Source organism: Homo sapiens, chromosome 10, assembly GCF_000001405.40.
Source record: "Homo sapiens chromosome 10, GRCh38.p14 Primary Assembly".
NCBI classification, from domain to species: domain Eukaryota; kingdom Metazoa; phylum Chordata; class Mammalia; order Primates; family Hominidae; genus Homo; species Homo sapiens.
Window position 1 is genome coordinate 13,730,503 of NC_000010.11, and position 21,954 is coordinate 13,752,456.

At 47.1% G+C, this 21,954-nt stretch overlaps 1 protein-coding gene across 3 annotated transcripts in view, besides 3 other annotated features; it reads right to left on the bottom strand.

Moving 5' to 3' along the window:
• The window catches only part of FRMD4A (FERM domain containing 4A), a 687,219-nt gene that overhangs the window by 86,797 nt on the left and 578,468 nt on the right, over positions 1 to 21,954 (bottom strand). For all 3 annotated transcript variants that reach the window (NM_018027.5, NM_001318336.2, NM_001318337.2), the window contains 4 exons: positions 17,234 to 17,317; positions 10,010 to 10,075; positions 9,692 to 9,749; positions 7,342 to 7,428 (listed from right to left, as the gene is read on the bottom strand). In NM_018027.5, the coding sequence (NP_060497.3) occupies positions 7,342 to 7,428; positions 9,692 to 9,749; positions 10,010 to 10,075; positions 17,234 to 17,317 (295 nt within the window). The remainder of the gene's footprint in view (positions 1 to 7,341; positions 7,429 to 9,691; positions 9,750 to 10,009; positions 10,076 to 17,233; positions 17,318 to 21,954) is intronic.
• Positions 9,867 to 10,161: a silencer, noted in NCBI's record as "tiled region #15561; HepG2 Repressive non-DNase unmatched - State 22:ReprW". NCBI's record gives its function as "represses a minimal TATA promoter and a strong SV40 promoter by Sharpr-MPRA in HepG2 cells {active_cell/tissue: HepG2}" and the evidence as "EXISTENCE:reporter gene assay evidence [ECO:0000049][PMID:27701403]".
• Positions 12,785 to 13,024: an enhancer, noted in NCBI's record as "active region_3062". NCBI's record gives its function as "activates an Ori minimal core promoter by ATAC-STARR-seq in GM12878 lymphoblastoid cells {active_cell/tissue: GM12878}" and the evidence as "EXISTENCE:reporter gene assay evidence [ECO:0000049][PMID:35858748]".
• Positions 20,653 to 20,702: an enhancer, noted in NCBI's record as "active region_3063". NCBI's record gives its function as "activates an Ori minimal core promoter by ATAC-STARR-seq in GM12878 lymphoblastoid cells {active_cell/tissue: GM12878}" and the evidence as "EXISTENCE:reporter gene assay evidence [ECO:0000049][PMID:35858748]".

The window sequence follows — 21,954 nt, forward strand, 5'->3', positions numbered from 1 at the left end:
ACCGTAAATGCAAACTAAGACGAAACTTGGGATTTACCTCCGGTGCCTAAATGCCAACCTGACACTGTCTCATTGTCTCCTGAGCCCAGTAGGACGGTAATTTGTGAAATACGGAGCCTCTCACCTCAGCAGCGCTTCTTTCTATTCCCACACATATGCACATGCTAAAATGGAATGTGGTAACTAGCATAAAATAGGGTACAACAATTGCTGCAAGATTTGTTTTTTTGGCTGGGCACAGTGGCTCACGTCTGTAATCCCATCACTTTGGGAGGCTGAGGTGGGTGGATCTTTTGAGGTCAGGAGTCTGAGACCAGCCTGACTAACATGGTGAAACCCAGTCTCTACTAAAAATACAAAAAAAAAAAAAAAAAAATTAGCCAGGCATGGTGACACACGCCTATAGTCCCAGCTACTCTGGAGGCTGAACCAGCAGAATTGCTTGAACCCAGGAGGCAGAGGTTGCAGTGAGCCAATATCGTGCCACTGCACTCCAGCCTGGGAGACAGAGCGAGACTCCCTCTCAAAAAAAAAAAAAGATTTTTTTTTTCTATTGTGACTTTTCTACTTCTGTCATCACTGCTGAGCCAAGACAGACATGTAAGATCCCGTCAGCACCGTACTTGGATGCTGCATTCACAATTGTGAATTCCAACCGTAGCCATGACAAAGGAGAGAGGAGAGCTACAAAGCACTCAAAGGGATGTCCCCAAGTGTCACATAGCGTTTGAGTATAAACAGGAGATCAGAAGTGGGGAGGAAGGCAAAGAGGGAGGGGGAAACATCATTGGGTGAAGGACTGAAGTAGATTTACTGAGAGCTGATGACGGGACATTTAATGTCCTATAAAAAATTCTACATCTTGGCCGGGCGCAGTGGCTCACGCCTGTAATCCCAGCACTTTGGGAGGCCAAGGTGGGGGGATCCCCTGAGGTGAGGAGATCAAGACCAACCTGGCCAACATGGTGAAACCCCGTCTCTACTAAAAATACAAAAATTAGCTGGGTGTGGTGGCACGTGCCTGTAATCCTAGTTACTCGGGAGGCTGAGGCAGAAGAATTGCTTGAACCGGGGAGGTGGAGGTTGCAGTGAGCTGAGATCACACCATTGCACTCCAGCCTGGGCAACAAGAGCAAGACTTCATCTCAAAAAAAAAAAAAAAAAAAATTCTACATCCTATCCTCAGATAGTGTTTAGGGTTCTGCTTGACCTCTTAAAAAGAACTTATATATGCAAGCAAGGGCTGATATTCTGGGGGAGGTGCATGCATTGTAGATTCTGATTTTTCTTAGTCTTGTTTGCTGCTTTTTTTAGGGTGTTCTGGGAGCTGTTCTTCCATATATGTTGTTCCAAAATACTACCGAAGTTGGCCTTCAGAAGTTCAACGTCTCTGAACTCTTCTGAACACGCACAAAAGCCAAAATCCAGTCTGCAGGGTGTCCCCACGTGTTCAGCTGTTCCTGACATGTGTACCCTGCAGGCAATGAAGCTGTGATTTTCGATTTTTTGACAAACTCCAGCAGCTTGCATTGAGGGCTGTGCTTCTGAAGGCCAGGAGGCTGTCTCTTTAGAAGGTCCAGGTAGCAGAGTGTGGGGTTTAAATGTTCTCTGTTCTCGGAGCCACCGGTGAGGTCCCTTGCGTTTTACTCCAACCCCCAAGAGCCTCTAAGCTCCAGACTGGTGATTAAGTGACTGAGGGCAGACTCTGAAACTAGGATGGCAAACTGCTTGCAACTGGAGAATGAGGGACGGGCTACTGTTGTGCTCTTTTCTGGACAGTCATCAGCTACTCTTTCTTGGTGCCTTTTTTGTTTGTTTGGGCTTTTTTGTGGGGATGAGGGGTAGGTCATATGGAAACACTTAAGTGGATTCTCAAGGCGGCTGCTGAGCCCCTGTGAGTGTGCCGACGGGTTGCCAATGCTGTTGGAGCTGTGCAGGCAGTGGACGCCTCTGGGCTCTGAAAAGGAGAGGGAGCAGACTCACCCCTGCCACTGCCTCTACTTAAACATGGGCTCTTCTTGTGTTGGTGCAACGTGACAGAGCCGCTGTAACTGGGTCAGAGTGTCAGGGAGGGCCTCTGTCTGCCGCCGGGCAGGAGCAGCTGCCTGGGCTGGAGATGCAGCTGTTACTGCAGAAGCCTCCAGGTGCACAGTGCTGGGTGTCACTCCCTTGCCTGAGCATCCCTGGAGGCTCGAGGTGGCAGAGATGTGCCAAGCACCAGAGCCAAGAGGGAGTGGCATCCCCTGGAGTGCCACCCCTCCCAGATGGCTCACCCAGCCATGAGGCCCATGCATGGGACCTCCCCTGCCCTCGGTGTGCAGGGACACTGCTGGCCACACTAGGGAGCCTGGCTGACCTTCCCCATGTCTGAGTTTTCAAAGCACAGAGGGCTGCCAGTGGTGGTCCTTGTCTCCAGGACATCAGAATCCCTGTGGGGCTTCTTCTGGGCTCAGTGGCCTGGTCGGAGGTGTAGGTGAGAAGGCCTGCAGGGGGCTGTGGCATCTAGATGTCCCAGCAGCTTCAGATGAGTTCCTGATGTACAGCGGAGGTTAAGAGCCACTGGCCTGGAGGCACTGAAGACAGACTTTTGGCTTAGGTGCGGACTTGCATCGATATGCATTCACACGTGTGTGCATCTTTTCAGATTCTGAGATCTGGGATCAGGGTGTGGGGCTTTTTGTAGCCTCAGAAACTGACATGTCCCTTAAACATAACACAGATGGCCTTTTTATAATGGTGATGAGGTTGGCAATGCAAGAAAAACAAACAGGCACCCCGTTTAGGTCTTCTTGTAGCTAAGGCTTCTTAACAATGGCTCCAGCTGAGTCCACGGCCTTGCCTTTAAGTTCCATCTGACATCTTAGCGGGGTGGGGGGGTACCCCTAGAAGCTAACAAAACTAAGGTTTTGCTTTCCCTCAAGGGCTTTTCAAAGGCCTGGTTTTTTTTTTGGAGATGGAGTCTCGCTCTGGAGTGCAGTGGCGAAATCTCAGCGCACTGCAACCTCCGCCTCCCGGGTTCAAATGATTCTCCTGCCTCAGCTTCCCGAGTAGCTGAGATTATAGGCGCCCCGCCCCCGCAGCAGGCCTGGCTAATTTTGTATTTTTAGTAGAGATGGGGTTTCACCATGTTGGACAGCTGGTCTTGAATTCCTGACCTCAGGTGATCTGTCCGCCTCGGCCTCCCAAAGTGCTGGGATTACAGGCGTGAGCCACCTCACCTGGCCAAAGGCCTGTTCTTAATTTTATATTCAGATTGTACATTCATTTCTTAAGGAGGGCCCCAAATTATGTAAGCTTCAGAGCCCATGCAACGGAAGCTGCCTCTGCATCTCACCGTGATCGTCGTGATTGGGAAATGAACTCTTCACTCCTAGCTACTGGTGTGCCAACTGCCAATCCAACCTCCTCCCTCTGTCCAGTCTCTGGTTCAGTGATGCTTTGGAAATTCTTGCTACTCCTGAGCTCCAGCTGAATGCCCAACTGCCTACTAGTCACAGGCACCTGGATGTCCCATCAAGCCTGCCGCGTTGCATGTCCTAAGCTGCACTCATCCCTCATCTGTCACTCCCAGACCTCCTCTTCTCTCAGCGTCCACACTCTGGTGGATCCTGAAGCCTGGGAGTCATTCTGCATTGCCCTCCTTCTCTCATGGCCTCCCTCTTCCGCCTACAGGTGATGAGTAACACACACCTTCTCAACATCTTGGTTCCCCTTCTCCATCCTGAAGCCCCGCCAGGTGTTGCCCGCCCTACCCTCATCATGTCCTGGTTTCTCAGTCTTGTCCTGGGTTTTTCCTATCCAGCCTCCAAGCAGTTTCCGGAGAGTGCTTCTACGACAATGGAAATCTGACACTATACTCCTCAGCTTCAAATAGACCGCGGCTAACACTCCCTATAGAGGAGGAAGTCCTCTTCGCAGAGCCTTCAAGCCTCCAGGAGCCTGCAGGCCCCAGCCCCCTCACCAACTCCTCTCTTTTCACTTGATGTTCCAGAATGAAGGGCACTGTGTCCCCTACCCCTGTCACTGTGATTTCAGGCACACTGGCCTCTCCCCTGCATGCCTCCCCGCCCCATTCCTCCGTCTGCAAAATTCTTTGCACCCTTGAAGACCCCACTCACTCTCTGCTTCCTCTGTGGGGACTTCTCTTCTCCTTACACCCAGTTGACGCCTGCCTTCTTGAATCATCCCCGACCCTCACACAGATTCCTATTACACCACTCAGACACTGGCTGGATTATCACACATCTTGGAGGACAGGATTTATGTCTCATCTCAGTGCCCAGTGATGTGCTTGGCACCTAATAGGTATGCAATAACTTTTTTTTCTTCTTCTTTTTCTATTTATTTATTTATTTATTTATTTATTTATTTATTTATTTATTTATTTTTGAGATGGAATCTGGCTCTGTCACCCAGGCTGGAGCGCAGTGGTGCGATCTCAGCTTACTGCAACCTCTGCCTTCCAGGTTCAAGTGATTCTCCTGCCTCAGCTTCCCCAGTAGCTGGGATTACAGGCATGTGCCACCATGGCCAGCTAATTTTGTATTTTTAGTAGAGACGGAGTTTCACCATTTTGGCCAGGCTGGTCTCGAACTCCTGAACTCAAGTGATCCACCCGCCTCGGCCTCCCAAAGTGCTGGGATTACAGGCGTGAGCCACTGCGCCCGGCCACAATAACTGTTTTTTTGAGCGAATGAATGAGTGATGGCTGTGACAGATTGGTAGTCTGTCCTTCAAGTAGGAATGGGCTGGAAAATTCTAACTTCTTCCTCCAAGGCCACAGAAACCCAAGTGATTTTCAATAACAACCCAGTTTGGGTTAGAGACAATGGCCTGGAAAACTATATTGACCTTTTGACATTTTTAATTCATGGACCTGGATAAGTTCCATTCATTATTGTAAATTCTCTTATTTGATGGCTGATTATTCATGCCTTTGGCCTCTTAATTCTTATCTTGAAGCCTGTTTTAGCATCTTATAATAATAGTTATAATTGACTGAGCCCTAGCTATGCATCCTTTCCTGTTTTACATACATCAAGTGCTAGCTCATCACCTCTTCACTCTTCATTAGAACCTCAATTAGAGGAATAAAGAAAGCTTAAACATATTAATAAATTGAACCAAACAAGTATGAATACTTGTTAGCATGTCCTCTAAAAAGCTTAGAGGGAGAAGAGATTTCAACTGCTGGATTTTAATTATCTCTGCTGTAGACCTCAATTATGCATGTCGGCCTTGGTCTTCCACCACTACAGGCAAGAGAGAGCTCAATGTATTGCAGCCAGAATTTTGTTAAAGGCTTTAGGGAGTATTCTTGGCTTTTGCAAGTGCAAAAACAGTCAGGCAGGTTGAAAAGAGAAGAGTCAGGCCAGGTGTGGTGGCTCACACCTGTAATTCCAGCACTTTGGGAGGCTGAGGAGGGCAGATCACTTGAGGTCAGGAGTTTGAGACAGGCCTGGCCCACATGGTGAAACCCCATTTCTACTAAAAATACAAAATCAGCCAGGCGTGGTGGCAGGCGCCTGTAATCCAGCTACTGGAAAGGCTGAGGCATGAGAATCGCTTGAACCTGGGAAGCAAAGGTTGCAGTGAGCCAAGAGCGTGCCACTGCACTCCAGCCTGGGAGACAGAGCGAGACTCCATCTCAAACAAACAAACAAACAAACAAACAAAAAACAAAAAGAGAAGGGTTGTTCTAAAAAGAAGGAGGGAAGAGAGAACTCAGGAAGAAAAGGCACAGAAAATTAAAAATGCCACGTGGGAAAAAGGCACAGGGAAAACAGGAAGAAAAATACAGGGAGGAAGAGGTATGGATCCCACAATTGAGGAACACAAAGCCAGAAAAGGTAAGAACAGGGGGTCCAATTCATTTCTTGTTGCATATAAATGGATAAGGAAAGGCTTTGGAGATAGCCGCAAAACAACACTCCCTCCACCCGCCAAAGAGCCAGGTTCTTCCTGAATTGTTCTCAGTCAATAATTCCCCCATCATTTGCTCAGCATCTTTTCTTAGAACTTAACCACCTTACTGATCAATGGAGTAAAAATCCTCCCAACATGGGAACATTTTTTCTTCTATCAATTTAATAAAGAAGTTTGCCAAGGACAGATGTTAACTGGAGAGCCTACAATCCACTTAGATATGTAGTGTGGGTTTCAATCCTATTCGAGGATAAAACAGCTTGGAAAGCAATCTGGAATGACATAATGGCCCAATATTGCTTTCTCTCTGCTAAAGCAAGTGTGGTTTTCATAGGTTTTTAATATGTATTTCAGGGTTTGGACTGCATACCATCTCCTTTATTCTCCACCGGGGGATCTGAATGATAGCACTCGCCTCTAAGATATGTTTCCATTATAATTTTTCAATTTGTTCTGGTCTGAAAAGTGTTTGTAAATGAAAACAGAGAAAATTCAAACGTTGTATCCCTTTCAAACATTCCATTTTGGGTTTACAAGGACTTTGCAAACCGTTTTCTGTTTCTCTCCCTCTTCAGCAAATAACCTTATTTTCTGATCACCTTTATTGAGCCAGAAAATATGTGCTGGATTTCCAGGAAACCCTCTCTCTCTTATTTTTCAGCTTTTCTGTTTTTTGTTTTGAGACAAAGTCTTGTTCTGTCACCCAGGCTGGAGTGCAGCAGGGCAATCCTGGCTCACTGCAATCTCCGCCTCCCGGGCTCAAGCGATTCTCATGCCTCAGCCTCCCAAGTAGCTGGGATTACAGGCATGCACCACCATGCCCAGCTAATTTTTGTATTTTTAGTAGAGAGAGGGTTCTACCATGTTGGCCAGGCTGGTATAGAACTCCTGGCCTTAAGTGATCCACCTGCCTCAGGCTCCCAAAGTGCTAGGATTACAGGCGTGAGCCAGCGTGCCCAGCCTTTCAGCTCTTTTTGACCTGCAATCTCTTCTTTCAGCTCTCCCACCTCCCCTGATCCTGTCCCAGAAATCTTTGGGAGAACTCAGACTGGCTTCAGGATTCAAGAGAAATGTTACATCATTTTTCCAAAGAATACAGCCCTGCCCGAAATTAAGGAACAGGATAGTCCCTCAAAAGTCTCTTTGCCTATCTGCTCTGGGGAGAACTGAGCCAGTCATCTCACCTTAAGTAATTATAACAGCTTAGATTTCCTTAGAGACAGGGAGAAAAAAAAGAAAAAATATTTACCCAGGGAACTCAGATGGGATTGCTGTGGAGTAATTTGTATACACTAAAATTAGCAGGAGATTGGTGAGCCTTTAGGCTGCATGGCGTTAGCATTTTTAAAGTGACTCCTACGCCTGTTCCTCTCTGGATCTGAGAGGAGTTAAACCCAAGCAGGAGACCAGCCTTACCTTTCTTGGCTTCACTTTATCATGGTAGTCATACTGGAAGATCCCTTTGTAGCTCAGGCCCAGCCACCATGGTATGCCCTGCTTGTCCTAGGATATCAAAAAAAGTTTGGGTGAATATGGGACTGGAGGAAGTAAACACACGCAAAGTGGAGATTTCCTGGCTCAGGGGCAGACGAGGGAAAGGGCCATTTCCTTGGAATGGATGGAGCCCACCTGTCTACTTTGTTTCTTAACAGATGCGTCTGTCATTGAAGGATACTCTGTTATGTGAAGAGGGTGACATGGGGAGTGCCGGGGGCTGGGGGCCTGGCTCTGCTCTTAATCAGCCGCACAGCCGAGGTCCTTTCCCTTTATAAATAAGGAATGAATGCCCTGCTTGCGCTCTCTCTCTCTCTTTTTTTTCCTTCTAAGAATTTAGGCATTCCATGCCGGGATGCTCACTCACCACAACTGAAAATCTGTGAGATGTCACACCTAATAAAAGGACCTTCTGGGCAGAGAAACTGTCATCGATGGTCAGAGCCAGAGGAGCTGTGGAGACTATGGAAAGTGACTCCTCTCATTTTAACAACAAATCACAGCAAAGAGTTGGCCCAGCTTTACCCAGGACCTTCCCCAGCTCCGGGGAGCACAGGCTGGAAGGTGTCACCCTGAGGTCCTGCTCACCCAAGATGACAGCTGGGTGCCAGGCAGGGTTTTAGGACTCATGCTGTTGGACAGGGTAGCACAGTGGAAGCTGAAACAGTCTCAGGACTGAATTAGAAACACCAAGTCCCTGTTTATTCCTTTTTTTTTGAGATGGAGTCTCACTCTGTCACCCAGGCTGGAGTGCATTGGCACAATCCTGGCTCACTGCAACCTCCGCCTCCCAGGTTCAAGGAATTCACCCACCTCAGCCTCCCAAGTAGCTGGGATTACAGGCACGTGCCACCACGTCTGGCTAATTTTTGTATTTTTAGTAGAGACAGGATTTCACCATGTTGGCCAGGCTGGTCTCAAACTCCTGACCTCAGCTGATCCACCCGTCTTGGCCTCCCAAAGTGCTGGGATTACAGTCATGAGCCACTGCGCCTGCCCCCACTGTTTATTAACAGAGACCTCTTGTCACCTGAGCGTAAGTTGCAATTCTATATTCAAATAGGATGATTCTGAGTTAATTAGAGCCCCCAGAAGCTAGGATTTTATAGTGAGCATATCAAGCAGCTTTTCCCTAATTGCCAAGTTTCTAAATAACCTAATACAACCCCATAGTGGGTGTCTGGAAAACTTGAAACTGGCATCACGGTTTTGAAATATTTGTGGGGCGTGAGTTATTTCAAGATGAGCAAAAAGATGAAAGGCAAAAGAGATAAATTTTGAAATTTCTTTTCAAGCTTCTGGGTATATGATTTCTTAAAACTTTAAAGGTGGGATAAAATCCTTGTATTAAACCCCTGCCTCTGGGAAGCAGCTGTGTGCACTGCAACGGTTTCAGAGAACAGAACAAGAGGAAACCCAATGCCACTGCAACAGCAGATTGACCAGAGAAGGGCTGTCATCACACCATAAAACATGGCATCAGTGAGACCACAAGGCCACCAGACAGGGAGCCTGGTGCAGCTGGGCCAGGTTTCCTGGATTCGTGCTCTTTTCCAAATTAGTAGCAGAGCCATTGCTTATGCTTTGAGGTTCTAAGTGCCAAACACCTCTACTCCTTTGGCACTTTGAAAATCACAAGCCCTGCTTTTGATCTTTACCAAACTGAAATAAAGAGCACAGTTTTGAAGTTTTCTTGGAAGGCAGAAAGCATATATATCAGAGGCAGCCTTTCTGTTAAGTTCTAGGGCTGACAAAGAAATGGACCACAGGTTGAAGCAAGTTAACTGGATGAAGTTTTCTGTATTTGAAATTGTCTCCCCGCAGTGTGCAATCTTCCTGACCAAGTCCTCCACAACCTCCATTCCCACCAGGAATTATAAAGAAAAAAACAATGAGGGCCAGGCGCGGTGGCTCACGCCTATAATCCCAGCACTTTGGGAGGCCGAGGCAGGCAGATCACCTGAGGTCAGGAGTTCCAGACCAGCCTGGCCAACATGGCAAAACCTCGTCTCTACTAAAAATACAAAAATTAGCTGGGTGTGGTGGCGCATGCCTGTAATCCCAGCTACTCAGGAGGCTGAGGTAGGAGAATCGCTTGAACCCGGGAGGTGGAGGTTGCAGTGAGCCAAGATCGCACCCTGCACACCAGCCTGGGAGACAAAGCAAGACTCTATCTCAAAAGAAAAAGAAAAAGAAGAAAACATATAACGAGATGTTTTGATTTGTTTGCTTAGGGGAGGTTTGGTAACCTTCACCAAATGAGTCTACTCACCTTCACTGCATAATAGTGAACCCCGTAGGTTGGGAGAGACTCCACGATGCTCATGTAGCTGGAATGACAACACGAAGATACACAAACACACACACAATGCGCAAAAGGCTAGTTATTCAGCAGATCTGGTATCATATATATATTTGTGTATGTGTACGTGATAAAGTTCTCGGAGTGATTATTTACTTGAAAATTAAATGGAAACATACACCCCCCACTCCCAGATATGTCTTTGGAGAGGAACTGAACAATCCTGACATACGATATATTAACACACACAAACACTGTCCCCATGTGAGCTGGGAAGGGGCCACTTACTTTACGATTGCTTGACCTCTTGTCTGACCGTTCAGTTTCTTGTAGTGCTCAATGACTCTGTCTTCACTGTAATTAGAAGAAAAGAATGCTGTTGTTGGAGTCTCTAGGTCAACAGCCAAGCTTCCTGCCAGTAAGATATTTCTCAGCCCCATCTCATAAGAAGCTCCAAGGCACCAACAGCTCCTGGAAAAATGATTTGTCCTGGAGTGGTATTTCCAAACTCGGTCTGAGTGCTATCTATTTGGATGTAGATTTACTTTAAAAAGAGTCTGTTTTCCCCACAAAGGACTTGCATTCTCTTTGTCTTGGATGTTTGTTTTTTTTTTTTTTTTTGAGACGGAGTCTTGCTCTGTCACCCAGGCTAGAGTGCAATGGTGCGATCTTGGTTCACTGCAACCTCCACCTCCCGAGTTCAAGCAATTCTTGTGCCTCAGCCTCCAGAGTAGCTGGGACTACAGGTGCGTGCCACCACACCTGACTGATTTTTGTATTTTTAGTAGAGACAGGGTTTCATCATGTTGGCCAGGCTGGTCTCAAACTCTTAACCTCAAGTGATCCACCCACCTTGGCCTCCCAAAGTACTGGGATTACAGGCGTGAGCCACCATGGCTGGCTTATCTTGGATTTCTAATCAAGAAATATAAGACTGGAGCCCAGGCCGGGTGCAGTGGCTCACCCCTGTAATCCCAGTGTTTAGGGAGGCTGACATGGGGGGATTGCTTGAGCCCAGGAGTTTGAGACCAGCCTGGGCAACACAGTGAGACCTTGTCTCTATACAAAAATACAAAAATTAGCCAGGCATGGTGGGGTATGCCTGCAGTCCCAGCTACTTGGGAGGCTGAGGTGGGAGGATTGCTTGAGCCCAGGAGGTCAAGGCTGCAGTGAGCTACAATTGCACCACTGCATTCCAGCCTGGGTGACAGAGTGAGACCCTGGCTCAAAAACAAAAAACAAAAGAACAAAAAGACTGGAGCCCAGGTTTTGGGATCAGCTCCTTGGAAGAAATGGTACCGTGGGAACAAGAGGAAGCAGACAGCAGAGATGACGCATGAATGCCCGGGCTGAGCTCCCTGGGGCCCTTCTTATCCTCATCTTCCCAGTCCTGTTCACACAGGGCCTCATGGGGGAATGGCAGGCATTGACCTTAACCAAGTGCCCACAGCCTACCTGCTCTGAATGCGTAGTCAGGAATGGAAGGCTTTCCAGGAGGATGGAATGTTCTGGAATTTGGGCTTGGTTAATATGAACCATGAAGCAACAAAAGCCCCATAGGAATGCTTGGAGAACAACAGCAAACCAGCTACCAGAATTAGACAGGCGCTCCCTCCTTTTTTGAAATCTTAGGTGTTTTTGTTTTTGTTTTTGAGACGCAGTCTCCCTTGTCACTCAGGCTGGAGTGCTGTGGAGCGATCTTGGCTCACCGCAACCTCTGCCTCCCAGTTTAAAGCAATTCTTGTGCCTCAGCCTCCTGAGTAGCTGGGATTACAGGTGTGTGTCACCACACCTTGCTAATTTTTGTATTTTTAGTAGAGATGGGGTTTTGCATGTTGGCCAGGCTGGTCTCAAACTCCGGGCCTCAGGTCATCTGCCCACCCCTGCCTCCCAAAGTGCTGGGATTACAGGCGTGAGCCACCGCGCCCAGCTGAAATCCTAGTTCTAATATAACAAGAGGTTAGCTGGCTCCTTGGCAGCAGTGGCAAGCCCGCCTCCTGAGAAGTGACTCTGGTGCCCATGAGGTAGGAGATACGGCCGCTCCCACCCCCGCTTTCGGAAGGGCAGAGCCAACCTGGGGAATCCCAGGGAAGCAGGTGCAGGCAGAAAGCCCCAACCCCACCTGCTGAGGTGTGGAGTCGACACCTCGGTCTCCCTGGTCTGGCCCCAGAGCCTTGGAACCTCAGTTCTCACTCTCAGGTCTTACTCCTCTTCACCCTCCCTGTCCTCTGTCAAAGCTCTGTGAGGGGAGCTGATTCTAGGGGTGTACCCTCGAGATCTCAATAGAGGATCTTTATTATCTATTATTTTTGAGACAAGGTTTTGCTCTCTCGCCCAGACTGGAGTGCAGTGGTATGATCCTGACTCACTGCAACCTCCATCTCCCAAGTTCAAGCAATTATCCTGCCTCAGTCTTCCGAATAGCTGGGATTATAGGTGTGCACCACCACGCCTGGCTAATTTTTGTATTTTTAGTAGAGATGAGGTTTCACCACATTGACCAGGCTGGTCTCAAACTCCTGACCTCAAATAATCTGCCCATCTCAGCCTCCTGAAATGCTGGGATTACAGGTGTGAGTCACTATACCCGGCCCTATTATCTATTATCCATCAGCCCAGGATCTACCTAAAGCCTTCTTTTACCCACCTTTTTGTTTTCAGTTTTAGCAAGGCCAGTGTTGGGGGTAACAGGTTCTACACATTCATCACCTAGTCCTTGGGGGTAATTTATTTCTCTTCCAATGACTACCTTAACCTCCAACTAGTATCTTTTAATTTTAATACTCTGGAATTTGATGCATAGAGGACAGTGAGAGGTCTTGATAAAGAAGGGTCTTTATAAATACCCAGAATGAGGACCAGCCAGCTACAGGGGGCCTTGCCTCAGTTGGAGAGTCACTTCTGTGGGGTCTGGATATCCTCTATTCAGAAAGGGGCAGACCCAGCCATCTCTCTCCTTGGCTCCCACATGCCGAGGAAGTTCTATATCAAGTGTGACAAGGTCGTCTCCTGAAGACGATTCTCGAAAAGCATGCTCCCCAAGGGCAGGCCCAGCCTCACTAATCCTGCAGAACTGCGTCAGGAGGTTCAGCGGCTCCACTTCCTTCCATCCCACTCACTAAATCAACAGCTGCCTTGGCGTGTTTCCTACCACGTGACATGGGGTTTTGTGAAGTCGACTCCTAGATCCAGGGTCAAGCAACTCAGTGTAGATAGGGACCTTTTTCCTTTGCAGCACTAGGGAGAGAGGGTCCCTGGGGTGAGTTCAGGAGGTGCAAGTCAACATAGCACTGTAGCCATGAACACACAGAAGGCTCAGGAGAAACACCAGTGAAAGAAAGTCAAAACCACTGTCAGAAAGCCGCGTCGCTGTTTAACCACGACATGTCCTGACCACAGGGTTCTGGGTGGCCGACAGCAGCAGAAATCTTTGCCGCCCCCTGTTTGCCCTGTAACTCCTGCTCTCTGAGGCCATCTGTGAAGCCACAATAATTGCCTTCTCCATCCTCAGCTTTTCCTGCTTGTTTTGCCCCCTTAAACATGGTGGGCTTATCCTGGAAGAACAGGCTCAATCCTGACCGAGAACCTATTCTGCTCCCAGCCTGTCCCCACCTCTGCTCTGGAACTTGCCAGAGGGCTGAAGTGCTCTGAGCTTTGCAGACAATTTTCCCATACCCTAGATTTGTAGCAGGGACTCAAGGGGATAACTAGCAGAAATCCAGGAAGCAGAGTAAGTGCTGCCTGGAGGACACAGGGTTACATGGAGGAAAAAGGCAAATGATCAAAGCTGCCTGTGCCCAGGTCGCTGGCTGGGTCATGTTGTTAAGTCAAATGACCTCTCAGCAGACAAGGGGATACATGAAATGCATGGGTGATGGAAGGGGAAACAGGGATGGTGATATGATATGGTTCCCCGTCTTGGAGCAGCTGCTGGCCTGCTGTGCTCAGTGGTTTCGGGGTTAAAAATAGATGTCCCTGCATACCTTATTGAGGCGATAGGGGTGGTCAGGTGGTCCAGCATTTACAAACTAGGCCCGCGAGGCAGAATCCAGGTCAGGGTCCTGATCCCTCCTTGTTCTGTGGCCCTGGGCACATCATTCTAACTTTCTGCCTCAGTTGCCTCCTCAACAGGGAAATCGCACGGTGTGAAAAGTCCATGCTTGTTAAATGCATGGGGAGAATTAGCAGAAAGGCTTCTTGCACCATAACTCAGCATTATTATGCTGCTTTCACTGCTTTTTAATGACATAATGTGACTATGTATTTCCTCTCTTAATTACCGTCTCAAGTAGGTTGGTGTATGTCATCCCATTTTGCAGAGGAGAAATTGATGAAAGCTACCTGGCTAGTCACTGCAGAGGCTTGGCTGGGATGCTAAGACCCACTGCCTTGGTTACCAGGCTGCAGCCTGCAGGTTGCCCATCCAATGTGCGAACTCCAGCGGGGGCAGGAAAGCCCCCGAAGAATGGTGAGTACAGCTCCTTAGTTCAGGAATGATCAGGGGAACTTGACACTCTGGGTAACTGTGATGAGACGGGTAAAAACGTCTCCCCCACCAGTGAGGGGTCCTGGTTAACCTTGCTGAGTGGTGAATCTGAGGCCCAGAGGGAAAAGCAGTGAACAAGCTGTGTGCACCTGCTCTCTCTTCATTCTGTATCTGTAGGAAGGAGGAACAGCACTTATCCCTCTCCTTGCGGCTTTGCTTTTTAAAAATCTATGTATATATAGGGATATGAAAATAGTTAGCTAGAAGGAATATGTTCTAGCATTTGATAGAACAGTAGGGAAATTATAGTTAACAATAATTTGTTGCATATGTCAAAGTAGCCAAAAGTGAAGACTTGTAATGTTCCCAACACAAAGAAAAGATAAATGTTCGAGGTGATGGATATCCCAGTTACCCTGATTTGACCACTGCACATTATGTACAGATATCAGAGTATATATACGTGAAAAATATGTACAACTATTATGTATCAATAAGAATCAAAGTCCATATAAATAAGGTTGAAATATTAGAGCCAACATCAAGTAGCCAACCACAGTGAAATGAGGTGAAAGGGCCTGTTGTGGTTGTGGTTGTTGTTTTTCAGTAGGGTATCGTCAGGAGGGTCCCTGTCATTGACTTTTATACATCGTCTGGGCTGTGATGCTGACTGTGATACACGTGGCTCCCCCGTCCTGCCACACTCTCAGGGCATTTAACACTGGCTTGGGCACTTATGGGTCTGAAGGAGGCTCAGGGAAAGCGCTGGCCTGGTCGTGATGGTATGGGATGTTCTGCCAAGCCAGCTATAGGTGAAGATGTTCATATGCAGAAGAGACAGAGAGAGTGTGTGTGAAGGGCGAGGTGCCTCTGGGTTAGTAATCATGTGTGAGTACAGAGCAGATAATGGAGATGGTGAAGGAGAAATCCAGAGACACAGGGAGGAGAGAAGAAATTCAAAACTCTCAGATGAGCATAGCAGTGTTCTAAGGTTTGGAAAGGAATGAATGAAGGGATGACTAAGAGACCCACAACAGGACAGGTCTCAGAGGCAAAGAGATTCCTCCCTGGTCCTCTCTAGTTACCTTCTCACATCCCCAGGGCCTTGACCATTGGATTTTTGGAAGTGAACAGCCAGGAGGCTACAGAGGGATGAGGCCCAGTGGCACAAGGAATTAGGGAGGTGGGTAATAGGGTCCATGAACAAGGAAACGGGACCATCATTTTTGGGGGTTCGGATTGCAAGTCTCGACATTTGGAAGCTGATGCATGCAAAATCCCTGCAAGTTAACAGATTTTGCTCTTTGGGGGCAGGTTATAATTAGAGAAAGCCATCATTTATTTACATCTATGTTTCCAAAAGAGGAGTGGCAATAAAACAGCTCAGAGAGATGAAATTAGGGACGCCAGACACGGAAGGGAGCTCCCAGCCTCGGGTCTTGGGGCCAGCTCCCTAGTGATGTGGTCTCTCAGAGAGATGTGATTTATGAGCCAGAGTTGTTTTTTTGTTTGTTTGTTTTGAGATGGACTCTCGCTCTGTCGCCAGGCTGGAGTGCAGTGGCACAATCTTTGTTCCCTGCAACCTCCGACTCCCAAGTTCAAGTGATTCTCCTGCCTCAGCCTCTTGAGTAGCTGGGACACCAGGCGCGCGACATCATGTCCAGCTAATTTTTTTTTGTATTTTTAGTAGAGACGGGGTTTCATCATGTTGGCCAGGATGGTCTCGATCTCCTGACCTTGTGATCTGCCCGCCATGGCCTCCCAAAGTGCTGGGATTATGAGCCAGAGTTCAATGCTGCTAATGAGCCCTGCATCAAGACATGCCCTACCCCAGACACACGAATCAGTGAACAACTAGGTCACTGTCTGGATAAGTGTCCAGACAAGACAAAATGCTCATAATCCATACAGTTCAGAAGTTGTCATCAAAAGCACTTACACAAGTCACGTATTGTAGTTTATTAGAATCAACTTGGTCTGTGCTTTTTGTTTTGCTTTTAAATAAAAGGAGTTGCAATGATTTCTGTTAGGGGATCAGAAGGAACATCAGAGAAGAGGTATTACAGTTATTAAAGGTCAGTGGCCAGGGCTTAGGAACCCAGTAGGATTTCAAAACATTATCCAGGAATGCAAGCCCTGCCCAACTGTGGCCCAAACCACAACCTGGGAGTCTTTCAAATGGCTTGAATCATTCAGAATCAGCCATTTAGGGCCGACAGATGAGCTATGGCATAATGTTACATAGTGGCTAAATCAGGAGATGTGAAACATCGAGGGAAAATAAAACAATCAATCTCCCTCTTCTGAAAGAAGAAAACCCTGTGGTTCTCCCACGTCTCAAAACCTCACACATGCTGTCATCAAATGACAGGTGTTCCAAAATGAAACTCTAGCAGCACATGAAAGGCTCTCGAAGGCGGTGAAGCTTCCAAAGTGAAATTTTAGAAGGTATTCTTTTTGAAAATTAAAAAAAAAAAGAAGAAGAAACAAAAAAGGAGAGGTCTCAGGCACAGTGCTTCACTTAAGTAAATGTAGAAAACGGGCCAGGCGTGGTAGCTCACCCCTGTAATCCCAGCACTTTGGGAGGCCGAGGCAAGCGGATCACCTGAGTGAGGTCAGGAGTTTGAGACCAGCCTGGCCAACATGGTGAAACCCGGTCTCTACTAAAAATACAAAAATTAGCCAGGTGTGGTGGTGCGTGCCTGTAATCCCAGCTACTCAGGAGGCTGAGGCAGGAGAATCGCTTGAGGCAGAAGTTGCAATGAGCTGAGATCATGCCACTGCACTCCAGCCTGGGTGACAAAGTGAGATCCGTCTCAAAAAAAAAAATTAATTAATTATTTTAAAAATAAATAAATAAATAAATAAATGCAGAAAATGGTTTCAGGAAGACACAGGGTACTTAATACAGCTGCAAGTCCAGGCTGGCACGTGGGAGCTGGTGGAGGGAGGGTACATTCAGTTGTCCTGTGTCCCCTCGCACCCCGAGAGGGACTCGCTCCTGGGGAAGACTCCAGGGGTCTTACCAGTAGGCCAGGGAAGGGTGCTCCTTCAGGGCTTGGGTGGGAAGGGCTGGCAGCTTCTTCAAGTCACTCCTCACAACTTCATTGCTGAAAGAGAGAATGCCCAGAAACGCACTCACCCTCTGAGAAAATAATCGCACTCTCTGATACCACTTGGGCCGCTGTCTTGTCTGAGAGACCCCACATCTGCTTCCCTGTTAATAAAAAGCAGTGGGGGGAAGGGGCGCTCTCTTTTTATTTCCGAAATACAGATGTAAACGAAGGCAGAACACACCAAGCCCAGTAACCGCCTTTCACCGTGCAGAAAGCAGGGCAAAACACCTTCAGATGGCCAGGGGTGTCTTCCCAAACCCTGCTCTCACTGAAGGGCACAGAGTGAACGCCCCTGAGCAGCCCTCAGCAGGAATTTGGGGAGAAGAAGTGTCCCCAGGGGTCCCCCAGGGCAGGATCTTAGAAGAAGCTCCCCAGAACCCCGCCGTTAGGCTCACAGAGCTCCGAGAATGGGCAATGGCGCCACTGTCTCCCTAAGAGCATTTGCGCTGCTAATACACAAAGCTGGTTTTCATGGCTTACGTTGACCACATGCTGGAAACTGTTTTCTGAAATATGACAAATAAATACTGATGGAGTCTCCTTTATCGGAAATGCTTGGGAGCAAAAGTGTTTCAGATTCCAGATTTTTTTCAGATGTTTGACTGTTTGCATTTATATACTTACTGGTTGAGCCCCACAAAACCTGAGCATCTGAAATCCAAAGTGCTCAAATGAGCATTTCCTTTGAGCGTCATGTCAACACTCAAAAAGTTTCTGAGTTTGGAGCATGTTGGATTTCGGATTTTCAGATTAGGGAGACTCAACCTGTAACTTTTGCTTTTGAGGAGGCTCAGAAACTACTTAGAAAGTGTGAACTGCGTTGTCTGGGCCAGGCTGAGCATCCCATATCCCAAAATCCCAAATCAGAAATGTGCCAGAATCTAAAACTTTTTGAGTGCCAACATGACGCTCAAAGGAAATGCTTATTGGAGCACTTTGGATGTTGGATTTTCAGATTTGAGGATGCTCAACCAGTTGGTATATAACACAAATATTCCAAAGCCTGAAAGAAATCTGAAACACTTCTGCTCCCAAGCATTTGGGATGAGGGAGACTCAACCTGTACCATTAGGCAGTTTTATGCATCCGGTCCTGAAACCAGAAATTCTTTTCCCTGTAGACTCACACATGCTTAGGTTTGGAAGATGCTTTAAACTCCCCTAGCTTAACCAGCCTTCTTCAGGTGACTGACTCCTCCTTACACACTCAGCAGGTCTGCATCCCCTCTGGGCCGGACCATCTGTGGCGTCTGCACCCACTTACTACCTCCAGAGCAACAAACGGCAGCCACTTTGGGACAGTTTTGATACTGAAAGAGCGTTTCCCTATCCTGGTCCACCAAAGAGCCTTGGAAGCCTTAGCCGGGGTTGCAAAGGCACATGTAGGAGCATTCTGCCTTTGATTCGCAGTTCTGACCTGGGCTATGTTAGCAGCTTCGAGGTTGCTTATATTAACCAAGGCAAATACTGGCCACCAGGACACTGGGCAGTGCCATCTAAAAAGGAATGAAACAGGTATAACTGTTTCATTTTTAGCAATGTTTTTCATTGCTAAAAAGCAATGAAACAAGGTATAACTCTGAAGGAAGGAAGGAATACCGCAGCCATAGAGGGGAGTTCCTCAGGTGCTTGGATGGTGGACACTCCAGCACCTATGCTGCTAACTGGAGGATGCATTGTTCCCTGTGTCCCCGGCGAGAAATACAGCCAAGGGCAATGCAATGATCAGCGTCACCATTGGATGCCCAGTGCCACTGGGCAAAACCACACCAATACACTAATACATTACGTCTGTGTGTGGTGATAAAGAAAGACATGGAGGTTTGGTGACATTAGAGCACTCCCAGAAAAAGCATTTTTCTGTTGCCCTAAGAAAGAATGAGGCCAGGCGTGGTGGCTCATGCCTATAATCCCAGCATCTGGGGAGGCCGAAGTGGGAGGATCACTTCAGTCCAGGAGCTCAAGATCAGCTTGGGCAACATAGTGGGATCCTGTCTCTACAAAAAATACAAAAATTAGCCATGCACAGTGATGCATGCCTGTAGTCCTAGTTACCCAGGATGAGGTTGCAGTAAGCTGTAATTGCAACACCACACTCCAGCCTGGGTGACAGAGGGAGACCCTATCAAGAAAGAAAAGAAAAGAAAAGGGAAAGAGAAAGAAAGAGACAGAGAAAAAGAAAGAGAGAGAGAGAAGGAGAGAGAGAAAGAGAGGGAAAGGAAAGGAAGGAAGGAAGGAAGGAAGGAAGAAAGAAAGAAAGAAAGAAAGAAAGAAAGAAAGAAATGAAGAAAGAAAGAAAGAAAGAAAGAAAGAAAGAAAGAAAGAAAAGAGAGAAGGAAAGACAATGACCATGACCAGTGGTGTTGGTGAATCCTGACCATGACCAACTAGAGGGAAAAGCTCAAAGTGTAACTGTTTGAATCAATCCATCCAAGTACTTGAACTGTTAGAATCTAAATGGTAAGGCCAGGACAGATCAACTGATAATCAATAAGCTGAAGGTGTTTATGAAGCCCCTGCCATTACATGGAAAGAATTGTAGAGGATATAAAAAATGATGAGATATGGTCCTTAACCAGAAGGTGCCCACGATTTAGCTGAGAAGGTGAGAGGAGCTCCTACAAAGCTCACTGACCACAGGGGTGATGTGTGATCATGTCAATCCAAACAGCAGACACGAAAGCTCAGAGGAAATAAAGGCACCCTTGGGCTCTGATGTAAGACTGGCTTTGGGGGAGGCCGTGCACGAAGAAAAGGATAGGAATATCACTCTTCTCCTGAGGGGAACACGGACAGACATGGAAGCCACATGAACTGAAGAAATCCATCAGAGTAAGAGGAATGTCAGGGGCAATACACTGAAAAGGGCAGGTCAGGCAGAGAATTGTGAAACTTTAATGCCAGGCTAAGAGGGTTCAGCCTCTCCTGGGTTTGATCCAGGAGGCAGACAGCAGGACAGCACCTGGTGATTTTCAAACGGGTAAACTCCTAGTGTTCAGGAAAACTCAATTCCAATCCCAAGTACAGTCGGTAATTTTTAAGCACATGCTATAAAGGCATAGTTTCAGCAAGTATTCAATTCACCAAACACTCGAGGGCCCACACTGATGAATTTCCGGATCTTCTCTCCCTGCGTCATGGTAAGTTCCCTGAGAAAAGGGATTTGATTTATTGGTCCATCAGCACACAGAGGGCTGGCTTCAATGTGAAAGGCACTTTTCTCAGATCAACTTTATTGGATGAAACCATGAGAAAGGCAATTAGTGGCTCCCTGAAGGAGCTGAAACTTGAGTTTGGGTTTCACTCACACCCATCACATCTAAAGTATATTTGGGGAAGGAAGGAACTCCAGGAGGAAGGGATCGTTTTACCCACCAAACCCTTGCTTGTTGGCAAACAAGTTGCCCTGATGACAGCCACAGGTTTGATTTCCTCACTGAAGCCTGCAGTGAGTTCTCTAGCTCTGCTCCAGGGCAAGGTTACACACAAAAAAATCTAACAAGAAATCACCAAGGCGTGAAACCTGTCCAAATCCATTATATTCTGGAAGGGATCCATGGCCCTTCATCCTTCCCCGAGGACAAATCTATAGAAATGTTCTGTTTGCTTTTCTGCTGTTTATAAACATCTGCAATAACTTAGGGGTGTCTAGCCCTGTCAATCTGGCCAAACTCTGTGGCTGAAAATCAGAAAGCTCCCCTAATGGGAAACTTGGTCACTCTACCCCCAGAGCTTGCAAGGCTGTGGCCTAACGAATGTTCTAGAAGTTCACAGCTTCCTCCCTCAATGTCTTCCACTTCGACATTTTCCCCAGAGTTCATGACATATGATAAATGCCAACTTATAAAACACCTTAAGACAGTTCACTGTGGCTGCATTCCATTTTTAGAAAAATGCAAAAAAGAGCTGGATGTGGTGGCTCATGCTTATAATCCCAGCACTTTGGGAGGCCAAGGTGGGAGGACTGCTTGAGTCCAGGAGTTTGAGACCAGCCTGGGCAACATAGCAAGACTCCATCTCTTTAAAAATAAAAATATAAAAAACAGCCAGGTGTAGTGGTTTGCACTTGTAGTCCCAGCTATCTGGGAGGCTAAAGTGGGAGGATTGCTTGAGCCCAGGAGTTTGACATTAGAGTGAGCTATGACCATGCCACTGTTCTCCAGCCTGGGCAACAGAGGGAGACCCTGTCTCAAAAACCAAAAGAATAGAAAAGAAAAAGAAAAATGCAAAAAGTTCTCTTGAAAAGCCAGTTGCTAAACTGAGAATAACATCCAAGTCTTCTTATCTTTAATATGAATCAGTTTTTATTAAAAACTCTCCGGCAGTTATTAACGTTGCCAGGATAAAAGTGGTATCAATGCTGTATTGGTCTTCGATTTAGTGGTGTTTTTTTCTTTGAGATGATGTGCCTGTCTTCTGCAGCCTATACTCCTCACGAAACAAGGAAAGTTAGAATGATCTACTGGGGAAAAACAAAGATTTCTAGCAATATATCAAATAGAGAATTTGCCACAGTGAACAGCAGATTTAACCAAGATGCCACAAAGTGAAGGGAGCAAAAATTAAACCTGAGAGGGAAGGATGAGGAAAATCCACAATGTGTTTGCTTTTCTTTAAAAAACCTGGAAATAA